The sequence below is a fragment of the Homo sapiens genome, chromosome 1 (genome assembly GCF_000001405.40).
Source record: "Homo sapiens chromosome 1, GRCh38.p14 Primary Assembly".
Classification (NCBI taxonomy): Eukaryota; Metazoa; Chordata; class Mammalia; order Primates; family Hominidae; genus Homo; species Homo sapiens.
Genome location: NC_000001.11, coordinates 23,055,715 through 23,070,267, shown reverse-complemented (window position 1 = coordinate 23,070,267; position 14,553 = coordinate 23,055,715). Strand labels below are relative to the sequence as shown.

Below are 14,553 nucleotides of genomic sequence, written 5' to 3'. Positions count from 1 at the left end.
GCTCTTGACCTCAAATGATCCACCTGCCTCAGCCTCTCAAAGTGTTGGGATTATAGGCATAAGCCACTGTGCCTGGCCAAAGAATCTTAAGGAACCATTGTTAATGTTAGCTTTTTTCAGGTTTCTGATGATACCACACAGGACAAGAGTGACAAAGCCTGAGACTGGGCCACCCTACAGGTATCCTGGCCACTTGGCAGTTCTTAAATCACTCTTCTCATTTCATCCTTACCACAATCCATGAAGACTGTGAGCTGGAGATCTCTTCATTAGACAGGATGAAGAATGAGGCACAGTGAGAGTGAGGCAAGAGTCCAGTCACAGGCACACCCAGAGTATGCACTATAAAGGCCCCCTCCAGGGGCTATTTTCTCCCTAAGCTGATGCGACCTTTGCAGCTGGCAGGGTGAGGAGAAGCAAATGGTTGGACTTTAATGCGCTGGAGCCTGGGGCTCTGGAAGGCGGTGGCAGAGAAGAGCCCTAACGGTTCAGCCCTGGGGAACAGAGGTGGGGGTGGCAGCAACTCAAGAGAAATAATTATGCCAATGAACTGGCTGCTGATTTGTTGGTCTTCACCAATGAAAACTTGGCTCCAGTACAGCTAATTCTCCTGCTAGTCCTAGAATTCAGCTGAGGGCACTGGGATAGCTTTAGAATAGCTAAACCACGCTTGTCCAACTCGTGGCCCAGGACAGTTTTGAATGCGGCCCAACACAAATTCATAAATTTTCTCAAAACACTGAATTTTCTTTTCCATTTTTTTTAAGCTCATTAGCTATCATTAGTGTTAGTGTATTTTATGTGTTGCCCAAGACAATTCTTCTTCTTCCAATGTGACTGAGGGAGGCCAAAAGACTGGACACCCCTGAGCCAAAGGGAACCAGACAAAGAGGAAAGATCTATTTCCTCTGGCAACCATTTATCAATAATGCCACACTGAAAGACTGACAGATAAAACAGTCTCTTTCGTTAGTCATTATTTTCTTAAGAATGAGTCCCAGCTGTGCAGACTTTCTCTTCCATGGAGGAAAAAATCTCGGAAATGCTTTTAAAATTTCTAAAGACTTTTTCTCCTATTAAAGCTTCTTCAGCTATGAAGAAAATACAGAATTTCACCTTATTAAGAAGTTCTTTCAATTCTTCCTGAGTTTTCACTATCTTCTTCCAATGTTCAATCTGCTCATCTTTGACATGCTTCTCTTGTAACCTAAGAGAGACAATATGTATAATCTGCTCTCAAAGCCAACTTTGCAGAATAAGACAGGTGCCCATCAAAAACATTTAAGGGCATCAAGGCCCACTGAAACTTCTGATACTTAGGAACAAGAAAGTTGGCTAGTTGGAAATTATTTCCTAGGCTATGTTAAATATAGTATAATACCATAAAAGCACTGAATTTTAGAAGTGAAAGGGGCCTTAAGGGATCATATAATTATTTTAAATAATTTTTAACTTTGGATTCAATGGTTTCATACAAAATTAAGTAAAAACTACCTCAAACAAGACTTGCAGAAAAACTTAAAACATAAATAGCAAATCTTTACACATGGAACTCACTATACAATAAGCAGTATCAAAGTACTTACTGAATGACAACTTCCAATGCCTGGCCAAGGGACACAGGCTTATTATTGAGGACATTGAAGTCTAGTTGATGACTAAGGTAAGATGTAGCTTCTAGCAACCGGTTAAACTCTTGCTCTACCATTTCATCTTTCTCTTTAGGAACCTGAAAATCCGAAGTATAGCAGAGTTGGTCCTTATAAAACTAAACATAACCATCCATGAAAACACAAATGCTCTATAGTTTATAAAGGTCAAAATATGTATCTCAAAGGGGAAACCTTTGAGCACAATGATTCAAATTTTCTTTTCTATGAAGTGGTCAGATCCATTTAAATGAGATATGAAATGTTTGGGCCCTGACAATTTCCTCTTCTTCTCCCACTACTGCCGTCAGAGCTGGGACTCCACCTCTATTAACAGCCACAAGATTTACACTGGTGCTAACTGAAGTCACATGGAGCACAAGTGGCACTGAGCTGACATGCATTAAGTTGAGCTGGCTGACATGCAAACAACACACTAGAAAAGTCCCAGAGAACAAAAACCATGTCAACAAACCTGAGGACCTTCCAAGAATAAGGGCAGGATGGGAAAATAAGAAGCCCAAGGTATCTGGCTTCCCCTCAAAGATGAATCTCAGGTGGGAAGAGGGAAAAGAGAAATGAAATTCATGGCTACTAATAAGAACACACTAGCACTTTTATTCTTTTGCACAGTAATAATATTTTATGGCACCAATAAGTTCAGAATTGAATGTACAAAGCTCTTAAGAGAGTCTATGAGTAAATGAAGGACCAGAAGGTCTGGCTCCTCATTGATGTGGATGAAGCAAACAGATTGCAAAGCAGGTCATCAAGCTGGAAGACCATGATCCTAAGCCATGCTGTGTCCCTGCCTATTGATAACATCAGTTAGTTTACAAACACCCCTCTGCTACTGCTTAATTCAGCCCCAAAGTAAACTGTATCTGCAATCCTATTGTTGAATTGATGGCAGAAGTGAGAGAAAGAAAAAATATGTTTAAGGCAAGCATTACTTGTTATAAGCTGGGCTGATATCAGCAGGGAAATGTGATTCAAAATACAGAATTTCATTATACAGTCAACCTAAAACTGGTAACACAAAAATAAAACATTGAAGCAAATTCTAGTAAACACTAAGACTCAGGAGGAGCGACCTTTTACAATCAGAGGTAACTGACTGTTGACAAGACCATCCCAGTAAGATTCTACCTCTCATTTGAAACTCCACAGTTTTTCCACTTCCCAACCCAACAGACGATTTTGAACCCTGGCCTCTGCTCCTTCACTGATAACACAAGTAACACTACGAGATGAGCCAGTGTGTGGCAGAAAGAATCTGGCAAGAAGGGCAATCTGCCCCCAAAAAGAAAGAGGACTGCAACTCTCCTTTGAACTGTAAATATGACAGATACCATAACTGATTTAAAAATCATATTCAAACAGTAAGTTCCCAAAGACTATACATGGGAGGGATCAGGGTATCTTTATAATTAAAGAATTACCCTTAGCCTAAAGAAAATCTAAATCTCTAAAAATATTCTGGTTTGTGTTAAATGAGGCAGAGAATCAGGCTTCAGATACTTGGTGCCATTTATATCAGGAAGGTACCTAAGACTGGTAGATCAAAAACCTGTGATCTACTACTCATTCAACTCAATGGCCAAAAAAAGAGCTTGTTCTTATTACACAGCTATGAGAGCTGATGGAAGAGACCCTTTGGTCAGGAATTTCATTTACTTTCTCAGCTACTTTTCCTCACTGATGTGATATGTGATGGTCATATGCAGAGCAACTCAAACAATGCTGAAATTTTGCTCAGAAACATGCTACTTCTAGTGCAAATCCTGCAATGATGCTACAAAAGATGGTTCTGGAAATCTAAATTTGGTTTTTCTTTCAAAAAGGAGAAACAATTACATTTCAATGTGAAATCTAGGTAGTTATGAGACCTTAACTGATCACAGATGCAATGCGCCTGACTGCTTTTCCTGGAGTATAAAAGTGATATTTCTATGTGTTGCTTCTAAAATGCCTAGCAAGAGGATGCTATAGCAGCCAAGAGGGACTACTAGATCACATATGCCTCTACAATAGGGCAGAATGTGTCAAACACAAGTGTGCAAATGGTACAGATTAAAGCTCTTCCAGTGTCAACTGGATGGCTTGCTTCAGACAAGCTTTAATCTTTGCAACTAGGATGACAATCACAAAGGGAAGTTCATACTGAAAAAGTACACAGCACTCAGGCTCAGTAACTGGGGTCCAGGGTGTGTGGTAGAGAAATATTTAAAGGGACACTGTCAAGGTTAGAGGGACCAAATTTGACCTGTTTCTTCCCTCTGTTTGCTGAGCAGCCCACTGGATTCATTACACTTTCCCCCTTAGTCCACCCACACCACCCACAAAAAACCTAATGTTTTACACGTGCTTTCAATGACAAAAACTCAAATGGCACCAGCCCAACATATAGGCGCAACTCTACAACAACAAACCAGTGTGAATGTATGATGGAGAGGATCTTTGAAAGGAAAAGATTTAGGTTTCAAGCTTTTAATGGGTTATTGTAAACAGTGAGGAAAATGATTTGAAAAATTATGAAAAAAATACCTTGACAGTGTCCTTTTAACCAGTGCAGCAGAGAGAGAAATAAACTGTAAATAACAGCCCAACAGCCACATCAAGTTTAGTTTTGTATGACAGCAATAAAATCAAGGCTTTAAACACATAGCATGACAGAAGCATTCTGTTAGCTCAGAAGCTGCAACCACCAGAGAAATAAGGAACAGATTGTACAGAGACCAAATGGGAAAGTCAAGGCACAGAAATGGCCAAAAGAAAGGCAGTTAACAAAAGACAGGGGAGTGAGGGGGAAGTGTCAGAAAGCAGTGAGGAATAAAGCAAAACTCAAAAGAGGAAAGGAAAAACACAGAACAGTAACAACAACAACAACAACAACAACAAAATCAAACAAACAAAAACCAAACCAAAAGATTGCTGCCACATTTGACTGACACCAGATGACAGGACTGCATCTCCGGTACACCATTCTAACCCGAGGCTCAGTTGTATGAGATTATGTGAGATTGTCAGCCACCAGGCCCCATCCATTTCCACCTAGTTAAGCAATTACAGGAATGTTGCAAGTGCAGCCAGGGATAGCTTTGAAACCTGGCTTTTTTTCCCCACTAACATTAAGATTTCACTTTGAAATTAAAGGAATATTTGGAAAATAATACATAAAATACTTGTCCCTTAGGAAATCAATACTGACTGGGAGAAAACCAAAATGTGCTTTTTAATACCTTTAAAACAGGATCATTTCTAAAAACAAGCTAGTTAGAAATATTCTATTTGACATATCCAGACAATAAAACTAACAAATGACTATCCCAACAACCCCAAACTACCCATACTTTAAGTCATTTATTTCCCCTTGATGAGAATCCTTGGATTCTATTAGTTCTACAAATTATTATGGAACAATAACAACAAAATGGAATTGAAATATTGGCAATCGCTAAACATAGGTCACAATAATTTAAATCTTACCTGACTATTCTAATCTAGATCCTTAACTTGTATCCTGAGAAAGAAACTCAACGAATGATTACAATGGGTTTTAAGTACCACATTAGAAGGCAGGTGGATTTCTACCCTGCAACACAGTGAGAACTTGTAACAGCAAACTAAGAAACATTTTTGGGGAAAGGACCAATAATGTTAAGAGCGTTCTAAGAAGCAAACAAAATGGACATCACTTTAAACAGATTTTGATTGACTTTTTGAAGCCATTTATTTCTCTATGAAAGGCTCCAGGTAAATAGTTCCTTCAAGACTAACAGGATTTGAAGAGTCTCACTATTCCAAATAGGTTCAATCCTGATTGTCTTGGTCCTGTAGATTATATGGACTGTCTCTAAATGTGTCCAGGGGAAGGGAAGCCTGTGTGTCTCGCCCATGCAGAATGTGGGAAAGCCAAACAACTTTCTGGACAAGGTCCCCAATCCTGCAAGAAGTAATCTCGAAGGAGGACAGCTCTCTTTAGTTCTTTCTACCTCTGGTATCATTCTAACAAGCTCTTTAGGTCTTCAGAAACATTGTACACCTATCTTACTTCCAGTCTTCACAAACTCTACAGCAGCAGAGCAGAATGGAGTTAAATGCAGCAATGTACGCTAGGTAATCAAAGTTCTGAGATTTAGCCAGAGAAATCCCCAGAAAGAATCAGAAAAAGGCAGTAATGGCCAAATCTGGCCAGTGGAGGCCACAGTCAATCTCCACCTCCCCATCCCATGCCATCGAGCACTTCTAGAATTATGGTAAAGCAGAAGATTAAGATTAGTTCATTTGGTAAAACCTAGAAGAAGAAATTTACTTCTGAAGAGTCTCTAATTCAGATTCTCCTCAACAGCCAAGGGAAATGAGATATAGCTATTATCCCCATAGGGCGAATATATCCTTAATCCAAATAAAATTCAATGTGATTCTAGGCTGGGAGCAGTGGCTCACATCTATAAATCCCAGCACTGTGGGAGGCTGAAGCAGGAGGATCACTTGAGCCCAGGAGTTTGAGACCAGCCTGGGCAATATAGTGAGACTCCATTTCTACAAAAAATTATTTTAAATTAGCCAGGTGTAGGGGTGTGTGCCTGTGGTCCCAGCTACTCACGAGGCTGAGGGGGAGAATCACTTTAGCCCAGGAGGGCAAGGCAACAGTGAGCCATGTTTGTGCCACTGCACTTCAGCCTGGGCAACACTGCAAGATCTGTCTCCAAAAACAAAAATAATCAATGTGATTCTATAGAGACTGTTGTCTTCCCCCCACTCCCACCCCATAAGGAATCTTTTTGACTTCCTTAAAGCAGTGATTAGAGTGTATGGAAAAGGCACACACAACATGTCTAAGTAGTTCTCTCTAGCAGTTTTTAGCATATAGTAGAGGTGCCCAGTAAATTCTTGTTAAATGAATAAATTAATATAGTTTGGAAAAGCAAAGTCAGTATTATAACTATAATTAAGGGGGCAAAAACTATTTGCAACTTCAGGACCATTAAAGGAAGGCATGAGATTTTTACATTTATAAATAAGCATGGATTGGCAGTAATGATTTCAAAGGGCAGAGAAAGACTGTCATAAAGATATTGAAGATGTTTGTTCAAAGGAAGAAAACCAAGAAGGCCAACAGACCTGTGTCAAAAGCATACTAACCTAAGCACCACTGTATAAGAACACAAATGAAAACCGGCAAAGTTACGATAGATACCTAATACACCTATAGTTAACGGTGTTTGTAAGAGACCTGACACCCATTACTTTTCACATGCTGTCTGTCATTCTTTCTCTTAACAGCTGAACCATTCTCAAGAAGCAATCAAGGCTCAGTTTCTCAAAGCAGTTACTGGAACCTGTGGATCTCAGCTGGTACACACACACACACACACACACACCCACACACACCCACCCCACACCACACCCCCCCCCCAATGCTACAGCACTGTGGGAATTTGATTAAGATACCCTTTCATTACTCCAAAAAAAGAAAAAAAAAAAGTAAAGCCCATGAGTTACTGCCTGATGTACAGGAGATGCAGAAAATATTCAGAGCCATTTCCTCTGTCTCCCCCACCAATTGTGCTTTCAGTCCCCTCAGCAGAGACCAGCAAAATGTTCCCTGAAATATGAATTACCCTATTTCCCAACCTTCCGCATGTCCAATTAAAGCTATTACTGATGACAGCATAGGTCAGAGTATAACTCCATCACCAATCAACTGAAGGCAGCTGCTATACTAGCTCTGACTGTTTTATAGGCTTAAGGTAGTGGAGATCCCTTCTATTTAGAGGGATATGCTTAGTATCCCTATATTATATCTTTATATTATATCTCTCATATTAATATCTTTACTAAGGAAGACTTTGTTGTGGTCATCCAAAGCCATAAAATAAACGTCCCTTGTCAAAAACAAGCACAGAAACTCAATATACTAGCTACAAATGTAGGAGAGAGAACAGAGAGGTAAACTTTTTGAGGGATTCTTGTGATTGTGATTAAAACAATGACATAAAATAAAAATCACTTGCTACATGATTTCTTTTCCTACAGCAGCAAAATGTCTGGGTATGGAGATATGTCCTTAAGACACTATTACTAGTGATATAACTCTGAGTAACTTTCTGGCCTTCTACAGGATGACATCATTAATTTCTACATACTAACAACAGAACCAACAAGTTACGTTTTTTGACTGAAGCTGTCCACAAAGCATGGAGAAACAGAACCCCATTTCATCCAAGTTTACTAAAGAAAAATCAATGACTGAATGAATTTTTACTTTAGGTAGGCCTTGCTGGCTCCTAGAGTAACTACAACAAAGCTCTCAGAGAAGGAGACTCAGCTGATGTCGTCACACAGGCAGTTAGAAAGAGGTGCATACACTAACCTCACCCCATCTTCCCTGAAATGTCAGCCAGGTGTAGTCAAACAAGTATGGGAATCTGAACAAGAACACCAGGCAATGGATTCTGGCTCTTCAACTTACTGATTATGATAACCTTAGGCAAACACGTGTGTGAGCTTTAGTTTCTTCTCCTGCAATAAGAGAATAAAGCTACTGACCTATCTCTTTAGATTTCTAAAGCCATCAAATGTATTTGTAATTATAAGCATAAATTAGTGGGGCTCTTTGTACTTGTCCTTTAAGCTTGTTCAAAAGCTAGTTTAGGCCAGGCACAGTGGCTCATGCTGGTAATCCTAGCACTTTGGGAGGCTAAGGTGGGTGGATTACCTGAGGTTGGGAGTTCAAGACCAGCCTGGCCAACATGGAAAAACCCTGTCTGTACTAAAAATACAAAAAAATTAGTGGGGCGTGGTGGCGCATGCCTGTAATCCCAGCTACTCAGGAGGCTGAGGCACGAGAATTACTTGAGCCCGGGAGGCAGAGGTTGCAGTGAGTCAAGATTGTGCCACTGCACTCCAGCCTGGTGACAGAGCAAGACTCTGTCTCAAAAAAAAAAAAAAAGGCTAGTTTATTAGTCAACAGTTTTCCATTCTTGCTCTGAGACAGACTACTGGAGACAGCAGTACAGAAATATTAGCATGCCTTATGTTTGATTAACTAAGGCAAGCATAACTCAAAGCTGCAAAGAATCCCTTCCCAAATTTGAGAATGGTTTAAAATCTTCCTTATCACTTGGCTACTGCACCAAATACAAATGTATCAACTTAGAAAAATCCTATACAGATCAGAGTTGAATGACAACTACCAATTTCGTTGGGAAAAATATCCCTGCATTCAAAATGCTAAAAACCACACATGAGGTTAACAACTGTTTATAGTGCTACTCAAAGGGCTGGTCCTGGTAAGATGTGGATAAATCAACGCACCACTTTCTTCACTGAGAGTTTTGCTACCAGGAAAAAAAAAAGTCACCATCTGAATTAACAGTGTGGTTAGTGGTGTAATTTCTTTATCTCATTCCACACTGGTAATTGACAGTTCACAGACTGGCAGCCAGTGCAGGCCCCACCTGAGGACAACAGTGGTACAGAAACAAATGTTTTAAAAAATGCGCTAAAGCTCATCTAATACCAAGAAAGCAGTCCATTTCTCTGGATATCTCTACTAGAAAAAAGTTCTCTCTTTACGTTAGAAAGACTTAATCAACCTGCTCTACATTCAGAAAAGTCTAAAGAAAAAGATGGCGTCTCAATGATCAGTGATTAATCTTTACTGTGGACTCTTATCACTTCTTGAGGACGGTAATAGCCACTCTGGAGACTTGCTTCCCTCCCCTCACCTCAATTCTGTACTTATTGCCTACTATTAATATTATACTTTTAACACTGACTTAATCGTGTCATTTCCCCTGTTCTCAAACCTCTCAAGTTCCAACCTACAATCAAGCCTAGCAAGTAACATCCACCACCACATGGCCCCACCCTAAACTTTCTATCTTCCTACCCTCGCTGGTATAATCCTACCCTCCTTTACAGACTTCTCTACTTAAGACTTAAACCTCCTCTGCCAGCAATGCTTTTCCCTTCCATAAACACATGTTGAAATCCTGATTTGCCATTTACAAATGCTCTCCTTCCCTCCAGATCTCTTAGTGTCCTTTCCCTTACACCTTCATACACCCTCTTGCCACCTTGGTTCTTCCATAGCAATTTGTTCTTCTATCTAATCCTTGGCTTTCACTTTATGTTACTGGTATTAATATATTTATGGATGATATGTTTGTGATCTGCTTTAAAATACTCCAGACTTCCCCTGGACTCAAAAGTGCAGGAATGGGACAGATAAAACAAGATTGGGAAAACAGAGGTTCACTATAGTACTCTTTCTACTTCAGTCCGTGTTTTTAAATTTCCATAATAAAAAGTTGGGAAAAAAGAATTATTTCTCTACAAGCACCACTATAGCAGGGACTACCTTATTCATCTCTATATCCTTTACAGATCTTGGTAGAGTAAGAGAAGTTTACTCAATTGTTGAGTTCATCTCTATTTCATCCTTTCTCTCTCATTCTGCTCAGTTTATTCTGCAAGAAGCCTCCTGTTATCCACCCCACCCAAGCCCTGGTGGGAAATTTGGACCATGATGGTGGGGATGGAAACCAAAGCATTCCCTGAGAGTCTGTCCTTCTCTGATATGAACCCCATAAAGCCTTAAGGTAGATAGGAGTAAGTGAGGATGTTCCTTGAGACATATCACACAAAATTCACGAGTTGGGATCCTACTACTTTTAGTAAGAATAGCTAAACCCACCGTATACATAGGAAATCACCATTTCCCCCAAATATAAAGACAATATGTACTTATATCCTGAGAAGTGTGGGCTCTCATTTTGATAAAGGCAGTCAGTAAAATTTTGCTAAATACAAACTTTTGAATTTCACTCACTTGTAAAAAATTAGGACTGACTTATGTAATCTAAGCTTATCTTACAGTCATTAAACTGTGCAATTCCCCATACCATTCATCACTTTCATGCTATTGTCATACTAAGTATAGGAAGCTCCTATGCCTCTGGTCAATAAATACTTTAGCCTATCTAAGCATGTGAGTAAGTACCACCATTTGGCTATTAGCCCATCAAAAATGTTAGCCTATGAACACAGAACTGAAGTCATAAAGAACACATGGAGCTAAAGCACGTGATGGAAGGCACAATACAAAAAAAACCGAAGAATCAGGTTTCAATTCCATAAGTCCCTTGGAGTAAGTGGCCACAGCCAAATAAAAAGATTAACTGTCTAGCTAGCCTTCATTAAATATCTAAAGATAAATGTTAAACAGACAGGTAAATGTGTATATATACAATAATCCTTTCCTACATAGCTCAAGAGTTAAGAAACAACCAGAATAACATCACATCATCTCTACCCTCAGTTTATATATATATACACCTCTATATGTGTATATATGTATATGCTCATCCATACCATTCTCCTAAAATTGTTTTCAAGTGAACCAAAGAAATGTTGAAAGTTCTGTTTGTCCTCGACTTACAGCTTGTCCGTTGGCTTCATAAAGTGGGCATTTTTGCTTGATCTTGGCCAGTTCCATATTTACTTGTTTGCTGACCACAGCCATAGGATTCCCTCCTAGAAAAAAACTCAAGCAATTAAATTCAATAGACCTATGAAGAGAGAACAAAAACCTTAAAGTAAAAAATATTTTTACTCAAAATATAAAAAGCTCAAAAGCTTACAGTATGTAATTATTTCTCAAAAAAAAAAGCACTCTAAGTAAAAATATGTAAGACAAACATGAAGGCAAAAAAATTACCTATAATCCCACTAATTAACATTACAGATTCTTCTAGATTTTAAGTGTATAAAATTACAGACCCACACAAAAAAGTATCATAATACGTATTGTTTTATAATATCTTTTCAACTTAGCAATATATTGTGGACATCGTTTTACGCTAATACGGAGCTACATGATTTTTAGTGGCTGTATATTTCTCATCGTATAATATTCTAATCTGTGGTTTCTAATGTTCTGCTATGAAAAACAATACCAGGGATGGGCAAGCTGGCTAATGCCCACAACCTCAACCTTCTGGAAGGCTAAGGCAGAAGAATCTCTTGAGGCCAGGAGTTCAACATCAGCCTGGGCAACAGAGCAAGACCCTGTTTCTATTAAAAACAAACAAGGCCGGGCGTTGTGGCTCATAAAGCTACTAACCTATCTCTTTAGATTTCTAAAGCCATGAAACGTATTTGTAATTACAAGCATAAATTAGTGGGGTTCTTTGTACTTGTCCTATAAGCTTGTTCAAAAGCTAGTTTAAGCCATACATGGTGGCTCATGCTGGTAATCCTAGCACTTTGGGAGGCCGAGGTGGGTGGATCACCTGAGGTCAGGAGTTTGAGACCAGTGCTGTAATTCCAGCACTTTGGGAGCACTGCTTGAGCCCAGGAATTCAGATCAGCCTGGCAATATAGTGAGACCTCATCTCTACAAAGAATTAAAAATTAACCAAGCATGGTGGCCCATGCCTGTACTCCAAGCTATTAGGGAGGCTGAGGTGAGAGGATCCTTTGAGCATGGAAGGCAAAGGTTGCAGTGAGCTGAGATCATGCCACTGCAATCCAGCCTGGGCAAAAGAGCGAGACCATGTCTCGAAACAAACAAAAACAATGCCACGTTAATCATGAGATCAGGAGATCGAGACCATCCTGGCCAACATAGTGAAACCTCGCCTCTACTAAAATACAAAAAATTAGCTGGGTATGGTGGTGTGTGCCTGTAGTCTTAGCTACTCGGGAGGCTGAGGGAGGAGACTGCAGTGAGTGGAGGTCACGCCACTGCACTCCAGCCTGGGTGACAGAGCGAGACTCTGTCTCACAAAAAAAAAAAAAAAAAAAGCTTCAAACACAACATTATCTACTTATCTTCATATGATAATTTCCTAGAACTAGAAAAAGGTACTCTAGGTCAAAAGATATGTACAATTTACATTTTCCACATACTGCTATACCTCTCACTAAACGGAAGATGACTATTCTAAACCAATACATTTTAAAATAGCATCTCTGGCTTTAAATTTCTTTTATGAGTCTTAGACCATGTACTATATAGCACAAACCAATAGCTACTTACCAAGACCTGTTACCACCATGGCTCCAAGATCAGCTACATAGTTTCCTTTGCGAAATGTGGCAACTCGTCCACCCACACGATCCTGTTTCAGAAATTAAGTAGCCAAAATCATCAATTCTGTTTTAACCACAAACCTGGCATAGTACCATACCACGGCTCTGTCTTCTATAATTTAAAAATAAAGATGTAGAGTTTACATGGAATGCAATCAACAGTACTATGGGCACAAAGAACAAATGAAGTTTAACTTGAAGACTATTTGAAGGAGAAGCAGGCAACAAATGACATATAATTAAATGTCATATAACTAAACGACACAGAATTAAATGATGTGATATAAAACAGTCTTGACAGCTGGAAGATAAATTTAGTCACAGGTACCACTCTATCCAGTTGTCTATAATACCTTTTAATGTACAGGGCCACCCATATAGAAAATATTTGTTCACAAATCCCAACACTATTTAAACACCAACTTTCTACCACTGTAATCTGACTCTTACACCCTGATCCCCAAAGTTAGCGGGGAAAAATCTGATGGATAATTTTTCTGACAAATGGTTCTCCAGTGCACCCCCATGCCCAGGGGCAGAGAGTCCATACTGAACATAGCCTGTTCACAATACCTTTTATCCCTAAATAGGCCCAGGTTTATCACTGCTGACGAGGGATTTTCAAGTATGGCTGAGTTGTAGCGATAATTTAATGATTATAAATAATGTAAGAGTACTCTGGAACTCCAAACAAACAAACAAAAATGCAAACAAAACAAAAACCTACATACTAGATTACAAACTCCTCATGGGTAGGAATCAAAATGGTCCTATTATTCCTTATTGTATTTTTTAATACAAAATGTACAAAGTGCACAAAGATGTTTTCTAAATATATAAAATTTTTAATAATAGTATATCAGGAAAATATTTAATTTCAATTTCCCCATACTCTTTTAAAAAATTAGCAGTTCAAAGCCATTAGAAGATCATTAGATTTCAAAAATTATTCATGAAAATAGCTTGAATAGTAGCATCCTAATATGATGCTCTTTTTCCTACTGTGTGCCATTATCCCTTATTGCTCCTCCTGTTTCCATTTCTCTCTCTAGGACTAACAGGAAAAAAACCAGTATCTTGGCTTCTAAAAGATGGTTCCTGCCTGAGAAGCAGCTTTTTTTCTTTATCAAAAACAGGGAATTCACTCTGTTCCACCATCAAAAATAACTGCCTCCTAACAAAGGATATGTCCATGAAGGCCCCAAATTTGAGAGCTAACTACAAGAAATAATGATCTGAAAATATCAGTCAGGAAAAGAAATACTCTAAAACCCTCTTCACAGAGTACTTTTCAAAGCATTCATTAAAAAAAAAAGCTTTTTAAAAATATAAATAACACTATCCAAAATACTCTGAGTATTATACAAATCAATTTAGCTTAGTTCAAGTTGTATAATTCTTTAATTTGCAACAGATAATTTGCTTACCATATTTCCAATAGGTCAAGCCTCTAAACTCAAAATGAAATTCTTACCCTGGCTTCCAAAAGTGTGACATCCATTCCAAAACTTTGTAACTGTCGAGCTGCTGCCAAGCCTGAGACCCCAGAGCCTATAATAATTACCTTTCCTGTCTTTTTAGCTAAAAGCAAAAAATGAAAAAAAAGATTTTGTTTTAGGTATAAAAGTTTGTACTTACAGTCTTATTTCATGAAAACCTCTAGGTTCTTAACATAATAGCTTACAAAGTAAAAAATACAGAGAGTTATTTTCAAAATATGGAAACTACCTGAAAATAAATTAACAAATATCTGAAACTTATGAATTCAAATTCAGTGTCGAACATTTATAAATCAAAT

General features: G+C 38.7%; 1 protein-coding gene across 9 annotated transcripts in view; it reads right to left on the bottom strand.

Moving 5' to 3' along the window:
* Positions 1–14,553, bottom strand: part of KDM1A (lysine demethylase 1A) — a 64,222-nt gene that overhangs the window by 13,422 nt on the left and 36,247 nt on the right. For 8 of the 9 annotated variants that reach the window (XM_006710473.4, NM_001410762.1, XM_017000716.2 and 5 more), the window contains 5 exons: positions 14,230–14,336; positions 12,703–12,784; positions 11,101–11,195; positions 1,587–1,729; positions 1,117–1,207 (listed from right to left, as the gene is read on the bottom strand). In XM_006710473.4, the coding sequence (XP_006710536.1) occupies positions 1,117–1,207; positions 1,587–1,729; positions 11,101–11,195; positions 12,703–12,784; positions 14,230–14,336 (518 nt within the window). Of the gene's footprint in view, positions 1–1,116; positions 1,208–1,586; positions 1,730–4,196; positions 4,209–11,100; positions 11,196–12,702; positions 12,785–14,229; positions 14,337–14,553 lie in introns of all 9 variants that reach the window. The other variant, NM_001009999.3, reaches the window with a different exon arrangement.